Genomic DNA, 26023 nt, shown 5'->3' on the forward strand with positions numbered 1-26023 from the left:
CACTGCTGGTAGGGATCAGGAACCACTTGCGGAAAAGATAAAAAAATAAAATTCCTTCCCCCTTCGGGGCAGAGCAATTATTCCCATTCATTCCTAGGCCTTCAGGCAGTACTGATGAGTGATCTCAGCCAATTGCTCTCAATTTCCAAGGAGCTACTAGGAAACAGCCACTGAAAGACTGAAAAGGAAAGAGAGGAAAAGAAAATGAAAAAAGACCCTGCTCCCTTTAGTGAACCAGGCAGTGGCGGTAAGGCTTCCCTGCATGGAAACCTCTTAGTTTCACTGGCCATGGCCAGAAACCTGCAGTTGCTTCCATGTTTAGACGCTGTACACTAAGGGTCCCAGGTTGGAAAGGAAAAGAGAGAGAGCGCCTGTGTGGAGCAGAAAGAAGAGGGAGAAAAATGAATCCCAAACTTTAGGGTTATCTCTTCCTCCTGGCTGGGTTACCAAAATATGCTGGTGGAGAGTGTCCAGGTTCTTGGCATCTTGAACAAAGAATTAGACAAAACACAAAAACGAAGCAAGGAAGGAATGAAGGGATTTATTGAAGATGAAAGTACACTCCACAGTTTGGGAGCGGGCCCGAGCATAGGGGCTCAAGGGCCCCATTATAGAATTTTTGGGAGTTTAAATACCCCCTAGAGGATGCCACTGGTTACATCGAGTATGCCCTATGTAAATTAAATAAAGTTACAAATTCATTTACTGTTGGGATTCACTCAGGATGGTGGCGGAAATATTAAAGGGAAATATTAGGGAAAGTTATAGGAAATAGTCACAAACCTTTTGGAAGGCTGAAAGGTTACATAGCTTGTAATAACTGAACAGGCTGAAGGCAGCCAGTTCTTACCCTAGAGCATTAGGTCATAGGGTAAATACTAGGGACAATAGAGGCTTCCCCAGTTAAGTCTGTTTACCCTACCTCCATTAACTAACCTTTGAGCCAGATGGCCCTCTTGGGGCAGGTCGACTAGGGATATTGCCCCCTAATGGTATTTACCTTAGACCTGGGTGCCTGAGCTTTAATCATTACTTGATCTACTCTCTTAACCATCTTAATTATCCGCAAGTGTGTTTACTCAAAGCTTCTGTTGTTAATTGTATACCAAATAAATGCCTGGAGTGCAAACTGCTTAGGGCCGGCCGCAGTGACAAACCTCTCTTGGTGTGCAGGCGGTCGGACACTCAGCTGGACTGGCAAAACAGAATATCTGTGTGTCAGTGTATGTTTTATTCATCCGTCGTTTGGGTCAGGGTCTGCAGGCAGAGCCCCGCAACTAATGCCCTCAAGTGTGAGGAGCAATACCTCAATTTATGGCATACACCTTACGGAAAGGATATTTCCTGTCATAGCTGAAATTTGAATCAGCCTTATGTTCCCTGCCTCCAGACCCTATTTTCCTGCCTCAGTATTGGTGTCTAGGGTGAGGTTTGTGCACAAGTGTGCTTCAGCTTTTTCTATCCATTTTGTTGTGGATATGTTCTCAGTTATCCGGTGTGTAGGAGTCTCTCAACTAGGTTCTGGCTTTCTCTCAGAGAGAATTGATTCATGTGTAGATATATATTCAGCATGTCCATGGTGGAGTGGGGGTGAAAGTCAGGAGCCTCCTATTCTGCTATCTTGCCGATGTCACCAAGACAGTTGATTTAAAGTATTTGTCTAGCAAGTCCAATGTTTAGGCTTCCTCAAAGATGATTTAGTATCATTTTTTTTCCTGTTAATTGTCCATACATTCTATACATTTGCCTGTCTTGTAATTTTGTTGTTAAAAACTGGACATTTTGAACATTATAATGTGGTAGCTTAATATCAAATTCCTCCTGAAGCAGAAGATATAACAAAGAAAAACAAGTTTTCCTGTACTAGGCTGACTCACTCTAAGGCCCAGCAATGGGCAGGGCTCTGTCGGGGCCTTTGATAGCACTATCTGCAGAGCCAGGGCCCAGAAGGGATGGGCTCCAGAGCCTCTCCCTCCCATCCCAGAGCAGGGAAGAGAAAAACATGTTTTTCCTCTTTAAGCTTCCCCCTCCCCCCTTCCCCCTTACTATTCTCATAATTATGTTTGCAACTTTTGTAAGTTCTTGTTTTTCCTTCTGTGCAGCACAGCAGAGTCACAAGATATGTTTAAGTTGTAAAACCTGTCACTGTTTGACAAATTGCCTTTGGTCTGCTTCTGTAAGCTTGCTTGCCCACCCTACAGGTTTCTCGCCATCAGACTGGTCAACCCCCTTTCTGATGCATGTATAATAGTCAAGCCCTGTCTTTATTTAGGGCTCAGCCTTTGGATGTTAATTCACTGGGCCGGTGCACACCTAATAAAATCCTCCTGTCCCACCCATTGGTCTCTCCTGTCCCCTAGATTCCTGCAACATTTCCTCTTCCTGGGATTTGTTGTTTCTCTTTATCATTAAGTTATAGTTTTTGTTTAGTGACTTTTCCAATGTATCTTTGTACAAAAAAGTGTATTTGTCATGTGTGGTCACTGAAGTCTCTGTTATGTTAGCTTAATGTTTAGTGATTTGACAGATATTTTCTTAAATTACTAGAGCCAAAAGCAGTCTTCTAGTGTTTGCAGCTGGGCTTTTTGTGTGTGTTGGAGTAAGCCTTTAGCACTCAAATCAACAGTTTACAACTTTGCCTTTACCTTCACATCCTGCCTGTGCAGAGTTTGAATGTCACCCACAAGTGAGAGCTTACAGACTCCCAGGTCATCTGGGTGTGCTTCCAACCCTGGATATGTGCATGGACTTCTAAATTTCCAGGAATATGTGGGAGCTTTTCAAAGCCTTTATTCCCCCAAAGCATCTTACTCCTGACTTTCCATTGTATCTGTTGTTTGCCCAACTGATGTACATTGTCTCAGGCAGAAGCTGTTAGTTAATTTACTTTTAAATGTTTTTGATGAATGCCCATCCTCCATGTACTTACTTCTCTACCCTCAGAGAGCTCTAGGTTAGGCAAACAAATGCAAGCTATTTATGTTAGTACTTCAGGGAGCCACTAGCTAGGTAAAAACTTTAAAAACATGGTCTATGGTACTACCCTGGCACAAGGAATCCACATTGGGAACATGGACTGATGTCTTCAAGACCCTTACTAAGCTTGTGAGTCAGGGATGGGGCAGGGATAATTTAAAATTTAACAAAGCTTTCTTTTCAGCTTTCAGTCACCTGTTTCTTATTGAAGTGTTCTCTTGAGAACACAATTTTTTGAGAATACGGTTCACTCGGCTCCCTTTGGTACCAGAAATCCACACTGGGAATATGGACCGATTGCTTAAAGACAAACCTCTGGGCAAGCTATTTGGCAAAAGGTGGGCCAGGGGGCTGTATAAGACTGTCTTCAGTGAAATGGGGATACTTCCTGATTGGCTGTGATAGTGTGTGAGCTGAGTGGCTATGCAGGGCTTCTCAGCTGTGTAGGTCCACCCATTTTCCTGGGGAGTAGAGCATCTCATGAATTCAGATGTTGGAGTCTTGTCCATTTCACCAGGCCTAGGCTCTGGGAAGCCAGGGTATTGGTGTTGCAGGAACCCATGTGAACATAGTGGAATAATGGTGGAGCCTCAGGGATGGAAGGGGTCGGTGGTTATTAGTCCCCAGGGCATGATGCACTCTAGCTGTGGGTCTAGTTTCAAGATGGCACCATGTTATAGCAGCTTAGGTTGTTGGGGTTTGGGATGCCAAGGGAGTTCCTGCTCTGGGGCCATGCAGTAGTGTGGACTCTAGGCAACTGTCCATAGTAAATTTGAGGACTGGCAGACCCTTCTGTAGCAATGACTGTTGGCATCTGTGGCAAAGATGGAGACTGCCAAAGGTCTTCATCTTACCTTTTCCCTTTAACAAGAAGTTCCCTCTGGCTCTGAGCTGATCCCAGTGGGGGAGACAGTGTGGTAAAGGCAGGATGCCTCACTCCCCTCTCTATGGTGCTATCCTGGGCTTTTTTGCTCCACAGGGATTTCACTGTTCTTCTGGTGTGCCTATGTATACTTCCTCAGTTATTCCAGTTGAAATATAGTTGTTTATTTGTTGTTTCGGTCCTTTTTTGTTGGGGAGGGGCCAAGCACCAGGTTCTTGTAGTTGGTCATTTTGCTGGTGTCACTCTACTCGCCCTCATTCTCACAATACATGGCTTGAGGATATGAGAACACCTTCCATACTTGTCATGAAGTCAGTCCATTTGGTTTCCTCTGTTGCAAAATGCTCTTTGCCTCCCACCTTCTCCTCTGAATTGTTGCTTTATAAAGTACACTTTTTTTCTCTCAGTGAGGGATGAGAATGTGCAGGCATTCATTTTGATCTTGGACACTGTTTCCTATCCTCTCCTGATGCATTACTCTACCCAGAGTTCTTTCTTCATGTATCTCTTCTGGCTCATTTTTTTTCTGTGAGTAGAAGATACATTTTATTTACTTCCTCTTAGCCCAGGCAATTACATAGTGTGCCAAATCAGTACCCAGAGATAATCAAGTAGTCTTTCTTAGTCTAGGGTTTGTGATTTGTCCAATGTCTGTACGGAAAAGTGAATCGATAGCAATGACTTTAGGCATTTTAGCCTTTTGCCCCAGTAAGTATTTTCATACTTCCCAGACTGTATATCCTGACTTTCAGTTTAGAAAAATACGGTACCTATGGATCACCTTGGTGAATGAGGCAGGTGGGACTTTCTGAATCAATTTATTTTTCTCATAGACCTTTGATGAGAGCTGGTGTTCAGCGTGCTTTTCCTTGTTATTGATTTGTTTGATTTATTGGGAAATTTTGCTAGGAGCATTTGACTTAGCTTTAATGGAAAGAAGATAAATTAGACATGGCCTCTGATAACTTGATGTGTATGTGTGTGTGTGTGAGAGAGAGAGAGAGCGAGAGAGACTGCATTTTGTTGGTGCATTTAATGAAGAACTGATTTGCATTTGTTTTTTTTTTTGAGACGGAGTCTCACTCTGTTGCCTAGGCTGGAGTGCAGTGGCACGATCTCGGCTCACTGTAACCTCCGTCTCCCAGGTTCAAGCAGTTCTCCTGCCTCAGCCTCCTGAGTAGCTGGGATTACAGTCATGCACCACCATGCCCAGCTAATTTTTGTATTTTTAGTAGAGATGGGGTTTCACCATGTTGGTCAGGCTGGTCTCGAACTCCTGTCCACCTGCCTCAGCCTCCCAAAGTGCTGGGATTACAGGCGTAATCCACCATGCCCGGCCCTGATTTGCATATTTTTTAATGAGAAAGTAAATAACTGCAGAAAAAAGAAGGGTCAGGTAACCATTGTTAGAAACTTGGAGTATGTATGAGTATAGGCATTCTGCTAATATTTGCTATGGAGGCTGAGAAAAAAACCTTACAGTAGAATGTTCTATTTTATTATTAATGGGGCTAGTGACACTTCTTTCTCGTAATTCATTTGAGTGCCTTGCAACTCTGGATGGAGCTTGCTGGCCTCTTGTTACTCCTGATATGTATGGAAGACAAATGGATATCAGCATTAGTGCTGGTTTTTGTGCTTTAAGCCAAAAAGCTGAAGAGTTTATAGTTACCTTCCACACTGTGGCATTTTGCCTGAGAAGAATTCAAGGCAAATGGAACAATGGTATTAATAATAAAAATAATAGGTATTAGTTATCAGTTCATACTAGGCGACAGTTAATATTTTATTGATTATTCCTAAATGTTGTAACATTATTAGTATTGTCTCTACTCTATGTATAAGGAAACTGAGACACAGAGAATAGAGATAATTTTTCCTAGGTTACACAGCAAATGGTTCAAGTCCAGGTCTCTGTGAATGCAGAATTTTCTGTTTCCACTGTGCCTCAATCCTTTTCATGGATTTTGGTTTCTTAGTGGTATCATATATGCTTCCTTTTTCTCTTTCTCTTCCTCAAGTAGCTGTTGTTTGAACATTTTTTATATCCAGGCACTGTGCTTGCCATATATTATCATTAAAACTCACAATGGCCCTGAAAGATAAATATTAGTATCCTGGTTTTACAGATGAGATAATTTTCCATTTTACTATACTGACTCTCCTTGTTCTTAGAGTCACCTATTGTCCCTGGCCTGGGTACCTTTGAGCTATGCTTTTTCTCTTCCTTCCCTATTCTCATTATAACTTCCCAGACCTGTTTCAGGTGATTCCATCATCTTGCTACATGCTTGATGGGCGATAATGATTTTCTATGTTACTTTTCCAGCTTGTTAGCACTTTCTTAAGAGACCCACAGGCTTACTGCTCACTATAAATTTATGGACTTGCTGAAGCTTGTTTTTCCTCAACTATGATGAAAATCCACTGTATATCCAACAATTGTGTTTGCCCATATCAAATCACCTTCCTAGAATTTTTGGACAAGGGGAACCAATGCAAAGAAATATGCTTTTCTTACGCTGCTTGCTGTGGTGTGAGCACGGAAGTCCTTTTTTTCTGACCCAGGAATCTCTCGTCTTCTGTTGGCATCCATGAAACAGTATGATCTATCTTTTTAGTTTGCAAGTAGGGCAAATCCAAGACCCTTCCCAGTTCTTGACAAATACTGTACCTAAGGTTCTTCAGTGGGAAAAGGCTCTATTTCTAGCCCTATGTGAGGGCTGGCTACTCTAGGGGAACCTTTTGCAGCCCTCCAGAGTTCTCTGTGTTGCTCTTTTTTTTTTTCAGTACTCTGTTCTGCGAACTCAAGTCTCCTTGTTCTCCCTATACTCTCAGCTCCTTCTTCTTGACTCAGGGAATCCTAGAGGCTTCTCCCCTATTCTATCTCCCTGTATTGCATTCTGAAAACTCTTTTCAGGCAGTAAGCTAGCACAATAATTTGTTTCAAGGATCACTATTCTTTGATGCTTGATGATCTGTGTCTTGAAAACTCTGTTATTGTGTCTATTTTTGGAATACTTTTAGGTGAAAAGAGAATTTGGTCCCTGTTACTCCATCTTGGCCAGAAGCGGAAGTTGAATCTGTCTTTTGAAAGTGGATTTCATATTTGGAAACAACCCAAAGAAAGGGGTAAGTAACTGGAATTAATAATGTTGGCCATGCTAATTTCTCATACTCCTCTTCCCCAAAAACAATGTGGTAGTAAAGTAACCAACCTGCTTTTTCCTGTGGTTTCAAATTTCTGTGGTTTAGAATTATAATTTATATTTATATTTATATTTATATTTATATTTATTTATTTATTTAAGACAGAGTCTCACTCTGTCGCCCAGGCTGGAGTACAGCAGCGCGATCTCGGCTCGCTGCAACCTCTGCCTCTTGGGTTCAAGTGATTCTCCTGTCTCAGCCTCCCAAGTAGGTGGGATTACAGGCACCCGCAATCATGCCTGGCTAATTTTTTTTTTTTAATTTTTAGGAGACACGGGGTTTCACCATTTTGGCCAGGCTGGTCTCCAACTCCTGACCTCAAGTGATCCACCGTCCTCGGCCTCCCAAAGTGCTGGGATTACAGGCATGAGCCAATGCACTCAGCTTAGCATTATAATTTTTAAAGACAAATTTCAGTGGCCTCCCTCCACTCTCCCCTCTTCTACTTTAATAATTATTGCAACCTACAAAGAAATAAAAGTCATGAGAAAAAATGGCTAGGGTCATATTTTTACCATCAGCCACTCTTCCCCAACACCACAATTAATTTAGTAGACAAATTTTCTGACTTTTTCCTTATTGATGTCTCTTATAATTTTCTCTTTCTTAGTGCCATACTTCAGGCTGGCCTTTGGTCTGGATTATTATAAACCCCACCACCCCTTAGCTGGTTTCTTTCTTTTTCTGTCATTCACATTAAGGCCAGACTGGCTTTCAAAAAACAAAAACAAAACTGATCTATATCATTTTTGCTTCTTACAATGATCTTTCCCATGAATATAGAATAATGTCCAGCTTCCTTTTGCCCACAATCTGTTCTCTGCTTACATTTATCATCTTATTTTATGTACCACAGTCTCTACCATTGATAGGATTATAATCCACAAATTACAATATTGTAAGAAGCTCTAAACGCAAACCGAGTGAGGGAAGTTTGCCTTTCATATTCAGGTCCAGTTCTGTCCTACCTTCGTGCCTTTGCTTATTTTGTCTCTTTTTGCCAGGTATACCTCATTTTGCCTGCCTTCAAAGAATTTTCTCAACTAAGAACCACACCATAAGGCCTCCCTAGAAGCCTCCAATTGGAATAAATCCCTTTGCTTCTTATTTTCTCATAGCAAATTGGTTGTAGTTGTATTAGAGCACTTAACAAACTGTGCTTTGATTTACTTGAGTAAATGTCTGTCTTCTTTAGTGAATTGTGAGTCCCTGGAAGGCAGGCCTTATTTCTCTTTATATTCATCATAGCATCTATCTCAAGGCCTTATAGATAGTATGTGCCAAATGAATTTCTATTAAATTGAAATTGGTTAAATCAGGGAACTTATTTAGCACATGAGAATAAATCAATGTACTTTCATTCACTGACATCTGCAATCTGGTCTGAGTTCAGTGAAATTCCAAGTATATAATGTGTCTTTGGGTCTGTGAAGACCCTGCTCTCTCTTTTTGAACAGCCTGCAAGCAGAATCTTCATTTTGTCCCCTAAATGCACGTGGCACTACTTCTTCCTACCTTCTCTAGGCGATGTCCTTTGACAGCGGCTTCAAACATGGCTATACCCCTGATTCATCTGGGGGAATTGTTTTTTTCTTTTTTCTTTTTTTTCTTGAGATAGAGTCTCGCCCTGTCACCAAGGCGGAGTGCAGTGGCACGATCTTGGCTCACTGCAACCTCTGCCTCTCCTGGGTTCAAGCAATTCTCCTGCCTCAGCCTCCCGAGTAGCTGGGATTACAGGTGTGCGCCACCACGCCTGGCTAATTTTTTGTATCTTTAGCAGAGACGGGGTTTCAGCATGTTCGCCAGGCTGGTCTGGAACTCCTGACCTCATGATCCGTCTGCCTCGGCCTTCCAAAGTGCTTGGATTACAGGCGTGAGCCACTGCACCCTGCCAAGAATTGTTTTTTTTTTTCAACAATGCAGTTACTTGGGTTCCATCTGAGAACCACTGAGTTGGAATCTCTGGTGGTAGGGCTCAGGAATGTGTGTGTTTAGTAGGCACCTGGCACTTGGTGATACTTTAGTATAGCCAGGTTTGAGACCTACTCCTCTATGCTCTAGTCTAGATCATTCCCTGTACTTACCCTTCTGTCAAAATGTATATACTCTGAGTCTCCTGCCTTTAAGACTCAGATTTCAGCTGGCTGTAATTTTGAAAAGTGGTTTGATTTACTTTCAAACTCCCCTTCATTCAGTTATTAATGTCTTCTCTCAAGGGTGTTTGCATTTTCATTAAAAAACAATTTAATAGACTTTATTTTTTGGGGTGGTTTTAGGTTCACAGCAAAACTGAAAGTAAGCATTTAATTTTTTAACAGGACATTCTCGAAGACAATGTAGAAAATACTGCTTTTAAGAAATAACAATGTTTAGACTTTTCAGAAGGAAAGAGTTCACCCATTTAAGGAATATTTTTAAATTGCTGTGGAAAATAGACAAGATGGGGTAGGACTGGTCACGTGCCAACTTGAGTGGTCTAAGAAGTGAGGAGTGTGTGTTGGTTTCACTTAATCCTCATGAAACGGATTTTCCATAAGAAAGAGGATTTGATTACAGGAATAAAAGGGAAAGGTTATTATGTTGGGCAGATGATTTCACAATCTACTACAAAAGTGTACTTTGCAAAACATCTTGTTTTGGTGGTGCTAATGGCACTGGGTGGAATAGTCATAGAACCACAATGCCCTGAGACAAAAGGAATGTTTATCTAAGGGTGAACACTCTGTATAAGGTTGGTCTTATGTGAAGTTAACTTATAGATTCTTATATAAACTAACACACATTTTCCCTTTCCATTGTAAGTGTCAACTGATTCTTACTTTATGAATTGGTGAATTGTTCTTCCCTGCTGTGGACATTAGCTGCTGAGATCTTGGGAGGAACTGAATTCATTTTGGTGAGTGACAATGTGTTTAATGAAAATCTTAAGCTTCATTAGCTTAAGATTTGTTTAACATTAAGATTTGTTTAACATTCAGTTGAGGAGAAACCCTTTTTTTGGCTGTTGATTTACAGATTGATAAGACATTGCTCTTACTACAGTGATCAAGAAATTCTGAAAATTGTAGCACTGTTAGAATTATGATATTGTCAGGATCTATTCTATGTGAGAGCCCAGCTCAGGGTTTCTCTCTGAGATAGCACATATGTATTTGCAGTTGAAGCAGTGACCCTGAAAATCTGATTGTTGACTGGGAAAAGCACTTTTAGAGTCAGCTTCTTCTGTAATTGGTTGACACTCTTGTTTCTCCATGGAATCAAGTAATAGAGAAATAAATGCAGAATAAATAGAATTTCATGCTTGTATAAGTCACTGGCAAGATCATCTTTGGGTCATGCAGGAAGGGATGTTCCGTCCAGAGGAAAATTGCCTGGAAGGAAAACATTTTATTTTAGGCTCCCTTCTCTTACTTACTCAGTTTGAAGTTTTGTTTTTCATATGCTGCTCCTTTGCAGAGAGATGTACTGGGAAGGAGGGAACTTTAAACCTAGGGATCAGATGAGCTGTTGCAGCATTATCAAATGAGTGATTTACTCATGCAGATCTTGAATATTACAAAACTCACCCAAGGCTAATTGTATAAAAGGAGAGAAGATAATATTTAACATTCTATTTTAATATTAAATTTATTTATTTAATATTAAATTAGTGTCTACTAATTTTACCTATTGAGCAAAATGGTGAAATAGACAAAGTTTGCCTTAGCATATGAATTACCTCAATTCTGTTGGTTTTCTCTCTGTCTTTCTCCCTCGTTTCCCCCTCATCACTTTTCCTGTTACATTGTATTAATTTTTATTATTTATTTATTTATTTTTTTGAGATGGAGTCTCGCTCTGTCACCCAGGCTGGAGTGCAGTGGCTCGATCTTGGCTCACTGCAAGCTCCGCCTCCCGTGTTCACGCCATTCTCCTGCCTCAGCCTCCCGAGTATCTGGGACTACAGGCGCCCGCCAACACGCCTGACTAATTTTTTGTATTTTCAGTAGAGACGGGGCTTCACCGTGTTAGCCAGGATGGTCTCGATCTCCTGACCTCGTGATCCGCCCGTCTCGGCCTCCCAAAGTGCTGAGATTACAGGAGTGTGCCACCGTGCCCGGCCAACATTGCATTAATTTTCTAACACTGCTGTAATAAATTACCACAGACTTAGAGGCTTAAACCATGCAAATGTATTATAGTTCTGGAGGTCAGAGTTCTGAAGTCCAAAGTGGATCTCATTGGGCTAAAATCAAGGTGTTGACAGAGTTGTATTCCTTAATGGAGGTTCTAGGGGAGAATCTGTTTCCTTGTCTTTCTGGTTTCTAGAAGCCACCCACATTCTTTGGCTTATGGCCCCTTTTTCCATCTTCAAGGCCGGCAATGATCAGCCAAGTCTTTTTCATGTTGTGTCACTCTGACCTCCTCTTCTGCCTCCCTCTTTCGCTTTTAAGGGTCGTTGTGATTACATTAGATGATCCAGGAAAATCTCTCTATATTATTGTCAACTGATTAGCAAACTTAATTCAATCTGCAGCTTTAATTTCCTTTTGCTGTAGAGCCTATCATAGTCATGGATTCTGGGGTTTAGGATGTAGACGTATTTTCATGGGGCTGCATTGTACTGCTGCCACATATGTCAAGTGTTCCAGACTTTTATTGTGCTCATTGGCTGCCCAGAATTCCTGACACTAATCTAGGATTGTTACTTTTTAAAAATCTTGTAATATAGGCTGGGTGCCGTGGCTCGCGCCTGTAATCCCAGCACTTTGGGAGGCTGAGGCAGGTGGATCACGAGGTCAGAAGTTTGAGACCAGCCTGGCCAACATGGTGAAACCCCATCTCTACTGAAAATACAAAAATGATCCGGGTGTGGTGGCAGGCACCTGTAATCTCAGCTACTCGGGAGGCTGAGGCAGAATTCTTCAACCTGGGAGGCGGAGGTTGCAGTGAGCTGAGATCGAGCCACTGCACTCCACCTGGGCGACAGAGCAAGACTCTGTCTCGGGGGAAAAAGTCTTGTAATATAATGGATAGATAGGAACATGAGACTAGGAGGCAGAAGACCTTGGTTGGAAAATAGCCTCTCCACTTATGAGCTGTGTGACCTTGGGCAAATCGTTTAAACTCTTAGAGCCTCATCTTCCTTATTCATGACCCTTTCCTCTCTCCTCTATCAAAGCATACTTTTTCTATATTCTTTCTAGCAAGCCTCAACTGAAATCTCAAGTTAATTTGGAAAAATCTAATTCAAGCTAAGATATTAATAAGTGGTAATGGTTTCATCCATCACCACTCCCTTCCCTCCGACCTGCACACACATATACCCTCTCAAGTAGCATTTATATTTTAGTAGGACAAATTCACCTGGAAGGAAATCATTTTATTAGGTGTGCAATGCAAGTAATTGTAGTAGTCTGCTGCCTGCCTCTCAAAGCTGGCTTTATCCCTGACGATTTAAGAAGAAAGTATCTGTAGGATGACCAGAGGACCTGGTTTACCTAAGATAGTCCCAGTTTATGCCTGTTGCCTCATTTTGCTCTCAAATATCCTGGTTCAGGTCATATTATATGGTCACTTTATTTATTTGGTACTTGTTTATCAATGCCTGCAGTGTATTTATGAAACTTCCTTTCTACCTTTGACTTTAATGAAAGCAGGGGAATTTTAATTACTTTTTATAGTTTTTGCTTCTGTAAGTAGCCTAGAATCTGCATACCATGGCTTCTGGGTGGCTATTACTGACTGAGTAATTCCATATTTCACATTTCAGCCATCATTATTTTTCCAAGTAAAATTTGTAGACCACCCCTTATGGACTGAATTGTGTCCCTCCCCAACCTCATCAAATTTATATGTTGAAGCCCTAATCTGCAATGTGACTGTATTTGGAGATAGGCCCTTTAAAGAAGTAATGAAGGTTAAATGAAGTAATAAGGGTGACTGGAATCCAATAGGACTGGTGTCCTTTTAAGAAGAGGGTGCATTACCTGGGATGTACAGGAACAGAGATAATACCATGTAGTTTCTATAGCCTCTAAGCTTTCTAGAATTTTTAATGACAACTCCACGTATCTCAAAAATAAGCAGGAATTTAATCTTGCTTATTAGGACAAAGCAAGATGACAGCTATCTGCAAGTCAAGGAGAGAGGACTTAAGAGAAACCAAAACTGCCAATACCGTGATCTTGGACTTCCAACCTCAAAAATTGTGATAAATAAATTTCTGTTGTTAAAATCACCTGTCTGCATTAATTTGCTGTGGCAGCCCTTGCAGACTAATACACCATCTTTATAGGAATCAGTTAGAGACCTTGTTAAAAATGCAGTTTCCTGAATGCTATCCCAGACTTACTCAGAATTTCTCTGGTAGGGCTCAAGGAAACAAATGTTTTCCTCAGGCACACTAAACTTGAGAACCACTGAAACAGGGCCTTGCACTAAAAATTTTTTAAAAATACATGTCTTCATTATGTGAAATGTTTGTTCTCTCTTTATCTTTTTTTTTTTTTTTGTGATGGAGTTTCACTCTTGTTGCTCAGGCTGGAGTGCAATGGCGCGATCTCTGCTTGCTGCAACTTCAGCCTCCCGGGTTCAAGCGATTCTCCTGCTTCAGCCTCCCGAGTAGCTGGGATTACATGCGTGTGCCACCATGTCTGGCTAATTTTGTGTTTTTAGTAGAGACAAGGTTTCTCCATGTTGATCAGGCTGGTCTCAAACTCCCGACCTCAGGTGATCCGCCTGCCTCGGCCTCCCAAAGTGCTGGGATTACGGGCGTTAGCCACCATGCCCAGCCTCTCTTTATCTCTTTAGGGACTTTTTACCTAGGTAGAAAGATTAAATTCTTGCTTATTTTTGATATACCTAGAGTTGTCATCAAAAATTCCAGAAAGCTTAGAGGCTATAGAGACTGTATGTATGATGAATCAAAAGGGAGAAGAATATATCATTTTAGGGGAAAGTTAGGATCAAGAGTAACCTAGAATTGGCCCTTTAAAAAGGTCATCAGGAAAGCAATTAGAGCTGGGTTTGACCATTGCCCACCTCATACCTTCTTCATTTCCTGGAGATAATTAGCAATACTTAGAAATAATACTTTGCCTCTTTCCTTGAGACACTTAAGAAACTTTGACTTTCAAGTCTTCACCTCTGTGGGAAGCACCCTGGATCACACATTTAACCCTTCTACCTCTAATACAGATGCACTTAGTCCCCAGATATTTAATCCCATCTCAAGAGAGCTAGATTAGGCACAGGGAAGCTAAGAGACATGAACTCAATTGATAAGCATCTTATTCTATAAAGCTTGAGATGTTCATGCCTCAGAAGTTAGGTGCAACCTAGATGTCAGACTTAGTTATAATTAGTATGAATCCTTGTCAATTTCGTGGTCTCTGAAAGTCCAAAGCCTTCCCATAGATCCCTAAAAGTTGAAGTTTTCTCCAAATAATTTACTTGCATAAAGCATTTCTTTCTTTTATTTATTTATTTATTTATTTTTTTTTTTGAGACTGAGTTTCGCTCTTGTTGCCCAGGCTGGAGTGCAATGACATGATCTCGGCTCACCACAACCTCTGCCTCCTGTGTTCAAGCGATTCTCCTTCCTCAGCCTCCCGAATAGCTAGGATTACAGGCATGCACGACCAGCCCAGCTAATTTTGTATTTTTTTTTTTTTTTTGAGATGAAGTCTCGCTGTGTTGCCTAGGCTGGAGTGCAGTGGCACGATCTCGGCTCACTGCAAGCTCCGCCTCCCGGATTCATGCCATTCTCCTGCCTCAGCCTCCCGAGTAGCTGGGACTACAGGCACATGCCACCATGCCCGGCTAATTTTTTGTATTTTTAGTAGTGACAGGGTTTCACCGTGTTAGCCAGGATGGTCTCGATCTCCTGACTTCATTATCCACCCGCCTCGGCCTCCCAAAGTGCTGGGATTACAGGCGTGAGCCACTGCGCCCGGCCTGATTTTGTATTTTTAGTAGAGACAGCGTTTCTCCATGTTGGTCAGGCTGGTCTCAAACTCCCAACCTCAGGTGATCCGCCCGCCTAGGCCTCCCAAAGTGCTGGGATTACAGGCATGAGCCACCACTCCTGGCTGCATAAAGTATTTCTAAGCAAAAAGATTTTACTGAGAGTTTGCAGAGGATATGGAGAACAATTTACATTGCAGCGATGTAGATGACTTCAACATGTACTATAGGCATCACCATTCTTAACCATCTGTTAGCTACCACAACCATGTGAAGTTTCACTAGCCTGTCATCAAAACCCAGTTTCTGTCTTGCTAATTCTTTCACATTTCTATTTTAAGATCAAAACAATAATTTTTCTCTCATCTCATTCACAGCGACCACTGCCCATCTGTATTAGTCCATTATCACATTGCTATAAAGAAATATCTGAGACTGGGTGATTTATAAATAAGTGAGTATTAATTGGTTCATGTTTCTGCAGGCTGTGCAGGAAGCATAGGAACATCTGCTTCTAGGGAGGCCTCAGGAAGCTTCCAGTCATGGCATAAAAACGGAGCAGCCATCTTACATGGCAGGAGCAGGAGCAAGAGAGAGAGTGGGGAGGTGCTACACACTTTTAAACAAAAAGATCTTCCTTGTCGTTTAAGAGAACTCCCTATCACAAGGACAGTATTAAGGGGATGACGCTAAACCACTCATAAGAAATCCACCCCCGTGATCCAATCACTTCCCACCAGAAGCCACTTCTAACATTGGGGATTATAATTCGACATATGATTTGGGCAGGGATAAATATCCAAACTATATCATTCCACCCCTGGATCCTCCCAAATCTCATATTCTTTTCACATTGCAAAATACAACCATGCCTTCCTAACAGTCCCTCCAAGTCTTAACTCATCCCAGCATTAACTCAAAAGTCCAAAGCCTCATGTTAGAAAAGGCAAGGCCTCTCCACCTATGAGCCTGATAAAATAAAGAACAAGTTAGTTATTTCCAAGATAAAATGGAGATACAGGTATTAGGTAAAAATTCCCATTCCAAAGGGAGAAATTGGTGAAAAGAAAGGGATTGGAGGCCCCATTCAGGTTTGAAACCCAGCAGGGCAATCATTAAATCTTACAACTCCAAAATAATCTCCTTTGATGCTGTGTCCCATATCCAGGGCACACTGGTGCAAGGGGTGAGCTCCCAAGGCCTTGAGCTTGCCCCTGTGGCATTTCAGGGTTGAGGCCCCACGACTGCTTTCATGGGTTGATGTTGAGTGCCTGTGGCTTTTCTGGGCTGAGGGTGCAAGCTACTGGTGGATCTATTATTCTGGTATCTGGAGGATAGTAGCCCTCTTCTTACAGCTCCACTAGGCAATGCCCCAGTGGAGATTCTGTGTGGGGGCTCCGACTCCACATTTCCCCTCTGGCTACCCTAGTAGAGGTCCTCCATGAGGGCTCTGCCCCCACAGAAGCCTTCTGCCTGGACATTAAGGCTTTCCATACATCTTCTTATATCTAGGTTGAGACTCCCAAGCCTCAACTCTTGCCCTCTGTATACCAGCATGCTTAATACCTTGTGGAAGCTGCCAATGCTTAGGGCTGCACCCTCTGAAGCAGCAACCTGAGCCCCTTTGAGCCACAGCTGGAGCTAGAGTTGCTGGGATGCAGTGAGGAGTGTCCAGAGGCTGTGCAGGGCAACCAGGCCCTGGTCCTCATCCAGTAAACCATTCTTCCTTCCTAAGCCTCCCAGCCTATGATGGGAGGGGCTGCTGTGAATACATCTGAAATGCTTTTGAGGTCTCTTCCCCATTTTCATGGCTATTAACACTTGGCTCCTTTTTACTTATGAAAATTTCTGCAGCCTGCTCCATTTCCTCCCCTGAAAATGGACTTTTCTTTTTTACCACATGGCCAGGCTACAAATTTGCCAAACTTTTATGCTCTGCTTCCCCCTTTAAATATAGGTTCCAGCGTTAGGTCATTTCTTTGATCATGTATATAAGCATAGGTTTTTAGAAGCAGCCAGACCACATCTTGAATGCTTTGCTACTTAGAAATTTCTTCTGCCAGATACCCTAAATCATCACTCTCAAGTTCAAAGTTCCAGATTCCTAGGGCAGAGGCACAATATAACCAAGTTCTTGTCAAGGCATAACAAAAGTGACCTTTGCTCCAGTTCCCCTAAAATTTCTCATTTCAATTAGAGACCTGATCAGCCTGGCCTTCACTGTCCATATCACTATCAGCATTTTGCTGACAATTATTCATCCAGTCTCTAGGAAGTTACAAACTTTCCCTCATCTTCCTGTCCTCTTCTGAGCCCTCCAAACTTCTTCCAACCTCTGCCCCTCACTCAGTTCCAAAGTTTCTTCCACATTTTCAGGTATCTTTACAGCAATGGTTCACTCCTGGTACTAATTTTATGTATTAGTCAATTCTTGTATTGCTATCAAAAATACCTGAGACTGGGTAATTTATAAAGAAAAGAGGTTTAATTGGCTTACAGTTCTGAAGGATGTACAAGAAGCATAGCAACATCTGCTTCTAGGGAGACCTCAGCGAGCTTCCAATTATAACAGGGGGAACAGACTTCTTACATAGCAGGAGCAGGAGTAAGACAGAAAGGGAGCAGGGAGGTGTCAGACACTTTTAAACGAGTAGATCTCATGAGGCCTCACTCACTATCACAAGGACAGTACCAAGGTGATGGTGCTAAAGCATTAATGAGAAATTCACTCCCATGATCCAATCACTTCCAATTCAACAAGAGATTTGGTGGGGACACAAATCCAAACTATATCACCATCTTAAGACTTAGGGCCACCTGGTTACCTAGATATTTTGGGGGGGGAGTGGTTGAGAAAGGTCATTTTCTATCCTTCTACTTTAAACACCAAAGCAGTCTTCCAATCCAAGACAATGCCATTCTTGAGAGAAATTCTAGTGATCAAATTTGTCTCCAACTCATTTCATAAAAATGTAATTATTGCTGTTACTGTCATAAAGCAGATATGAATATGGCATGACTAAGTGAAAAGAATACAATACCAGATGGTGAAGAGAAGAAAACTGTTTTATTGAACTTGACCTGTAAATCCAGAACAAAGCTAGGTATTTTATATGTGTTGCTTTATTTAGTCCTCACAATAACCATGTGAGGTGTGTCATTATTAGTCCCATATTACAGATGAGAAAAATGAGGACCAGAGAGTTTAAGTGACTTCAGCTACTAAAAAGAAACCTTAGTATTTAAATGGAGATTTCTCTGACTTCCAACTTTATGTAATTTTCACTATACTGACACATGCCTCTGAATCTAGAGTCCGAGATCCAAAGTTCTATTACTAGTGATCCTTGGAAAAGTCATGTTCACTCTGTGAGTTTCACCACCTTATGTGTAAAACAGAAAGGCTGGATGAAATGGTTTCTAAGGGCCATTTGCGTACAGAAAATATGACGTTCTGTGAGCTTTCCTTATACCACATTTCAAGTGCTCAGTAACCACCTGTGACTAGTGGCCACTGTACTGGGAAGCACAAATATAGAACATTAACTTTATCACAGGAAATTCTATTAGACAGTACTCACACAATAACAAATGTGTTGAGTGAAAAAGAGGACTTAAGATGTTTAAAATTATTTAACAAGAGATTTAGTATGAGAGGCTTTCCTGAGGAGAGGGACATTTGAGTTCAACTTTCAGTCAGAAATAACTAAGCAAATATTCCCAGCTGATAACCTTTCTACAGATACTTCCTACTGTGAGGTAATGTGACTCTTGTTGAGTGACAGCTATGAGGTTGTCTAGGATATAAAGGAACTTACCTTCTGCCCTCAATGGACCCAACCTTGCCTAGGCAACAGAGAACAGAATAGGGGTAGGTAGGGAGCTCTTTCACATCTGTGCCTGTTAAGGTTAGGATGGTAGAACCTGGGACCATGGGAATTATTGTAAATGAACTGCATGTGTTTTGGTGCTTGCTCACATATCTTTTTTTAAATATTGGGAGATCCCAGCCTAAGTATCAATATTAAGTTTGATAGGACAATAGTATGATTCATATTGATAGAGTGTTCAGACAAAGAGACCAAGCAGAGGAAAAGCTGAGCAGGAGAAAAGCTGTCTGTTCTTGGGTGCCTGCATTCTGTCAGAAGCTATATGCTCCATGAGCTTCTCTAGTCTGCACTGGAGGGGAGAATGATAGTTAGATATCCAAACATCTGTAGGCAGAAAGTTAAGTTCAAATTCACAACCTGGCCAAGATGAAAACTGTGTGGCAATTTGATATATCTTCAAGTTAATTGCCACACAGAATGGATCTTCCTCTGTCTGTCACCGTCTGCCTCTCTTCTTCTATCTCTATTACCTATCGTTATCATCTATCATGTATCTGTATCAATTCTCCAGAAGTACTAGGCAGAATCTCCAGTGCTGTACACATCCCAAATCATTGCTTTCTGTATATTCCACTCAGGCCTTGATTCTTTCTCTGAACAGGACTCCATAGAGCAAGGTGTAGGAACGCCAGGTGCTTTTCTACAGTGCCAATGCCATGACCTAGGAATATTTCATATTTACTTTGCAGAGGAAGAAAACAAAGTCTCCAAAAGATGAATTTCACTTGATTGATAGATTATATGATATCACCACAATTGGTCATGTCAGTAAAAATCACCAATTAAAAACTGCATATTAGTATGATAGAAATGGAGGAAAATCAAATTGATTGCATGAACTTTCCAACATTCAGCCAATTATATTAATATCATGTGAATGTCATGGTATTGCACATGAGAATGACTCAGTTCTCCAAACACTTCCCAGTTTTTGAACCTTCAGGAACAGCTGTGTCAGCCTCTGCAAATCTGCCATCTGTTTGTCTCACTTGTATATTGAAGTGCTTTTTAATGCCTCCCATTGCTACTGTTTTCTCTAAGGGAGGGATGATTTGTTTCTGAAGGTGATATTCTCTTTAAAAAGTACTGTTTCTTCCTCTTTGATGTATAATCTTGCTTGTAGCAGCTCCTCAGAGACCTTGACTCACTAGTTATGGCTAGAATCCAGGTCCTGTCCCTCTCAGTTTTCATTGCATGCTCTGAGCTTTGTCAGAGCCATGCTGTATTTGATTTATCTCCTGCCAGGATGGTGGCTACATATTCAATCTGTGTGCCAAGTGCTTCTGAGGTTACCTTCCCATATCAGATAATTTAATTTCTCCATTTTTAGAAAGCAAAGAGTAAGCTACCTTATTAACTGGAAAGATGCTTATTTGGGGGATGAAATGATCCCTCTGAATCTTAAGAAGAAGCTCATTTTGTTCCTGAGGTTCAGTTCTCCTTCTTAAAATCTTTCTGCAACTCTCCCATTCCCTACTGCTGTATACATCCTCATATACAGATACACTGACACATACTTCCAACTCTTCAAGTTCTGTGAGTTGTTGGAGGCCCAGTTTAAGTCTCCTCTCCTCCATCGATTCTTCTCTAATTAGGAAATCTGAATTGTTTTTTCTCTTCTCCTGCAGCATCTATTGTCTGCAACACACAATTTAACCTTCACTTATTATACTAACTTGTGCTATCCTCTTTTAATTAGAGAGTAAATTCTTTGAGGGCTCAGTTCATGTATTACATATTTTCTCCTAGTGATTGCTTTATTCATTCATCTATTGAACAAACATTTACTGAACACTTTTACATTAGATCTTGTGTTAGGTACTGATGCTACAAAGGTGAATACTACAAAGATGAATGAGATATGGTCCCTGCCCTCAAGGAGTACCTGGCCTAGTAGGGGAGATAAACACATAAACATATAAGTGTAATAATGTACTAGGTACTATAATAAAAGTCAAAATAGGGGACAAAGAAAGCACAAAGAAAGGAGTGAAGGCCAGTTCTACTTGAAGGAGGCAGGAATGGCTTCATAAAGGAGATGATGATTGATTGAGCTGTGTTTTCAAAGCTTAATCCACATTTACTTGGCAAGAAACAGGTGTGTTCCAAACGGTGAGAGAATCAGAAGGAAAGTAATAGGAGCTTGAAAAAGTATGAAACGTTAGAGAAACTGTAAGTGGTTTGATACAACTGGAAGGCACTTGGGCGGAGGCGGGTGGTGTAACTAGTGAGATCACACTGGAGAGGTATCCGGAATTGGATTATGAAGGGCCTTGTCACGTTAAGAACATTGAACCTTAGGCTGCAGGCAAAGGTGAGCCATTGTAGAATTTTATACAGAGGAGTTACATGATCTGATCTGTGATTTTAAAAGATTACTCTGATAACATGGAGGCCAATTAGAAGGCTGAAATAATGAGGGACTGATAGACTAAGTACCATGGCAGTAGAAATTGAGAGGAAACACAGATTTTAGAGGTATAGAGAGTCAAACTTAACAGGACTTGTGATTGATTGGATAGGAAGGACCAGGGACAGGGAAAAGAAGTCTGATGAATCTCAGGTTTGTGGTTGGGACCTTTGGGTGGGTGGTGGTGCCACTCATTGATGCAAGAAACAAGGAAGTAAGCCTTCTCCCTAATGGTTCCCCAACCCCCTGCAATCCCATGCAGGTCCATAGTAGGTGCTCAATAAATACATTTATTTAATTTTATTCTATTGAGAGGAAAATGTCTTGCTTTTTCTTTGTGTCCTGCCATAGTTTATAAGATTTCCAGTAGTTGTAGGGAAATGTCATGGCTTTTTTGTTGCTGCTATCTTGTTCTCTCTGCAGTTAGATCTGGTTTTTCATTTCTGTGTCTCTAGTGCAGGTCCTGGATTCATTACTCAGCTTGCCTTTTTGTTGTTTTTGTTAGTGCTACACACTTCTGATCTTTGTCCATATATATGATTTAATAATAGTAATCACTCACATTTGAACAGTGATTTGGAGTTTACGAGGCATGTTCAAATATGATTATCTCCTTTGCTCCCTATTACTATACTGTAAAGTAGGCAGTGAAATAGATTTAATTGTGCATGTTTTATAAGTGAAAAGAATTTAGCTAGTGGTGATGTGACCTGTCAAAGATCACACAGTAGTAAGTAGCATAACTGGGATTCTGATTGCTTCCATATCCACCATATTTTAATTTTACAATCTTGATCCTCGCCTTGCTCTCTGCTATCCATGTGCATCCAGACTCCTTATAGCCTGACTGATTTCTACCCTCTGTCTTCTTCTGACCTCTAGTTATTTGCTGTGCTTTAGGTCCACTGTGACCTTCTGTTTCCAGTAATCTCTCTTGCCTTAGACCTGTACCTTACCTTGCATATCCAGATCTATTTTGGTTCTCCAAGTCCAGGCATCTTGCTCTGTCTCTCCAGTTCTTTTACTTACAGTCCTCGAAGTGACACAGCAGGACTTGCAGATGGATTTGTGGCACTGGAACTTTTCTTCCCAGGAACATAGGGCGACACCCACCTTCAGTCTGTTGGAAGGAAATCTGACCTGAAGAAATACAGGGTGTTGGACTATGTTACTTGTAAATTATTTAATTTGTGAATCTGAGCAGTGAAAGATGACAGATATAATGAAGAAGGCAAGTTTTCTAACCCACAGCCTGCCCCCTCTCCAGCACAGATCTCTTTTAAGGTTGTCTAGTGAGGTCCATTGTATGAGCTTCAGTCTCCCTGTGAGCACATGAATCTCTTGACTCAAATGCTTGTGTTTGAGTATTTTGGAGCATTTAATATTCATATGGTAGCAGCAAACATTTAGTATTCATTATGGTAGCTTTCAAGATTATATAAATTGTTGGTAGATGCCTTCTCAACACTGAAGTAGTTTAATGTGGCTCAGTGGGAGTCAGAGTCCTTAGCACTTTCGAGTTTTGTAGTTGAGTAGCAAGTACTTGTGAAACACCTACTGTGTAACAGGGATGTTATAAACAAACACTTTGCTCTTGAGCCTACCATCTAGTTGGGAAGATATATTATACATTTGTTGTATCCTGACTGAGCAGTGTACAACACAATTATAAATCTATGCTAGGAAGTTTGGAACAGAAAATGAGATATGAGCAGAGTTAGTCGAGGAAGCTTCCTAAAAATGATGACATTTGAACTGAGCCTTTAAGAGTGGGTAAGACTTTGAATGCAGAGTGTGTATGAGTCAGCGTTGACGCTGATATTTTGGGATGACAGAATGGCATGATGGAAACCCCATATTTAATTCTTTTTCAAAGAGTATTTTTCTCCATCTCAGGTGACAAGTTCAGGGGGGCGTGTCAAAGCAGTCTTTCTTAGTGATGCCAGATATTACACCGTAAGTTCCCCCGATTCCATAGTTGGTTCTTTTGCAACATGATTTTAGGCTGTGGTGTGAACGTAGCCTAGGAGATCCCTTTCTCAAGTCAGGTTTCAACTCCAAATGAAAACTAACTTTGTACTTTTGAGATAATTGTTCTAAGAAGGCAATGCTGCTGAAACACAGGCTAGAATAGAAAAGTTAACTTTGTGTGGCTCAGAGATGCAATTTTCTCTTCTTCCTTGGCAAAGATGATGCTGTGACTGGGGAGCCTTCTCAGAGTGACAGATCTGTGTGGGCTGAAGCTCCAGTTTGATCATGAGGGGGTGGGAGATGGAAATTTTTTTTTTCTCTATGATAGGTTCTGATGCAGACAACTATATGCTCTGGGAGTTATTGTTGGGGGCCTTGTATGATGTATACCTTGTTTCTCAGTGGAACATTATGTGGCAAACAGCTTCTGAAATGTGTTTTTGCAAGTGGGGCAGAGGGCACAATGTGATAAGCAGGAGAAATAATAATTTATTGAATAGAACTATTTTTTGCAGCTATGGCCTGTAGAAATGCTGTATCTGTTATCAAACTTAATTACCTCGCCCCGTGTTCTATTTTTCAAATGTTTTCCTAGATGCTAGGGTAGAATTGAGGTAAGATATTCTATCTTGCAATTTGGGTAATTGGAGAGGTATTGTTAAACAAAAATGGGAAAAGATAGTTTACCCTTAGCCAACTGTGAACTTGGCAACATATGTCTGTTAATTTCATACCTTCCTATTTGTTTTCCCTTTCTCCTCTTAATATTCTCCCGTGGGGAATCTAGAATCCCCCTCTGTTAAGTCTTTAATGTGACCTCAGTGGTGACTTACAGGGAGAGGGGAGTATGCGTGGGATGCAGTATGCAGGAATGGTGGTAGGACTGCCTCATATAAAGGGCTCTGCCTCAATAATGGTAGGAAGTAGTCCAAACATAAGATCCTGAAAGTATAGCAGATTCTTGTCCAGTATGGGCTGTTGTGTATGCCCAAGGATAGAAATTGATAGATGGAGTCAATCTGGGCTCCTCTTAGGGGCTCACATGTTTTACTGCTGAATAGACAAGGTGCACACATATTATGAAGAGCTAGAAAAAGAATTAAAGTGGAGATTAAGAAAAATAATCTCAAGGACTTGTTCAGGATGGATTCAGTGGGAGAGAAATTGGTATCTAGAGGGTAAAAAATTGAAGTAGCTAATATGTATTGAGAACTTACTATATGTCAAGCATTTTATATAAAGTTCTAATTTAATTCTCATAAGCCTATGAGGTAGGTAGTTTTACTACTCACACTTTACATATAGGTAAAGTGAGAATAAGTTGCCTACGGTCAGAGATCTGGTAAATGATTGAACCATGATCCATTGATTGATTGATTTTTATTGTGGTAAAAACATATAACATAAAATTGACCATCTTAACCAAATACACCCTGAACCAGGATTTATTTTATTATTTATTTATTTAACTCATTATTTTTTGATTCACGGGGTACATGTGCAGGTTTGTTACAAGGGTGTATTGCATGATGCTAAGGCTTACGCTTCCACTGATCTGTCACCCAGATAGTAAACATAGTACCCAATAGGAAGTTTTTCAGCTCTTTCCCCACTCCCTTCCTCCCTCCTTTTGGAGTCCCTAGTGTCTATTGTTCCTATCTTTATGTCCATGTGTACTTAATGTTTAGCTCCCACTTATAAATGAGAACATGAGATACTTGGTTTACTGTTTCTGTGTTGGGTTGCTTAGGATAATCCCTCCAGCTGCATCCATGTTACTGCAAAGGATATGATTTCATTCCTTTTTATGGCTGCATAGTATTCCATGGTGTACGTGTGTGTGTGTGTGTGTGTGCGCGCGCGCGCGCGCGCATGTGTGCGTGTGTTGTGTGTATCACATTTTCCTTATCTAATTCACCATTAATGGGCACTTAGGCTGATTCCATGTCTTTGCTTTTGGGAATAGTGTTGCAATAAACATATGCGTTCAGGTTTTGTTTTGGTAGAATGATTTATTTTCCTTTGGGTATATACCCAGTAATGGGATTGCTAGGTTGAATGTAGTTCTACTTTTAGTCTTTTGAGAAAATTCCAAACTGCTTTCCACTGTGGCTGAACTAATTTATATTCCCACCAATGGTGTATAATTGTTCCCTTTTCTCCACAGAGACACCAACTTCTGTTATTTTCTGACTTTTTAATAATAGCCATTCTGACTGCTGTGGCATGGTCTCTCATTGCAGTTCTGATTTTCATTTCTCTGATGATTAGTGATGTTGAGCATTTTTTCATATGCTTGCTGGCCTCTTGCATGTCTTCATTTGAGAAGTGTCTGTTCATGTCCTTTGACTACTTTTTAATGAGGTTCTTTTTCTCCTTTTTGACTTGTTAAGTTCCTTATAGATTCTGAACCAGGATTTATGTTTAATTGTATTTATAAAATAAAATTATTGAATTAGGAAAATAAATGTCAGATGGGAGATAGGACTAACTTTCAGCTCCCACTTGGATGAACAGAACAGCATGTGGAGACCGACATCGTAAACATTTGCTCCAAGAACTACCGCAGGAACATACTAGGAAAACTAAAAGAATTCACAGACCCTTTAAAAGAATTGACTTGCTGCTGCAAATTCCATGAGACAGCCAAAAAACTGAATGCCCAAAGTGTGAGAGAAGGAAAGTACACCTACGAACACCCATCCTCACTGGGGAACCTGAAAATCCACATCACAG

Source organism: Homo sapiens, chromosome X, assembly GCF_000001405.40.
Source record: "Homo sapiens chromosome X, GRCh38.p14 Primary Assembly".
Classification (NCBI taxonomy): domain Eukaryota; kingdom Metazoa; phylum Chordata; class Mammalia; order Primates; family Hominidae; genus Homo; species Homo sapiens.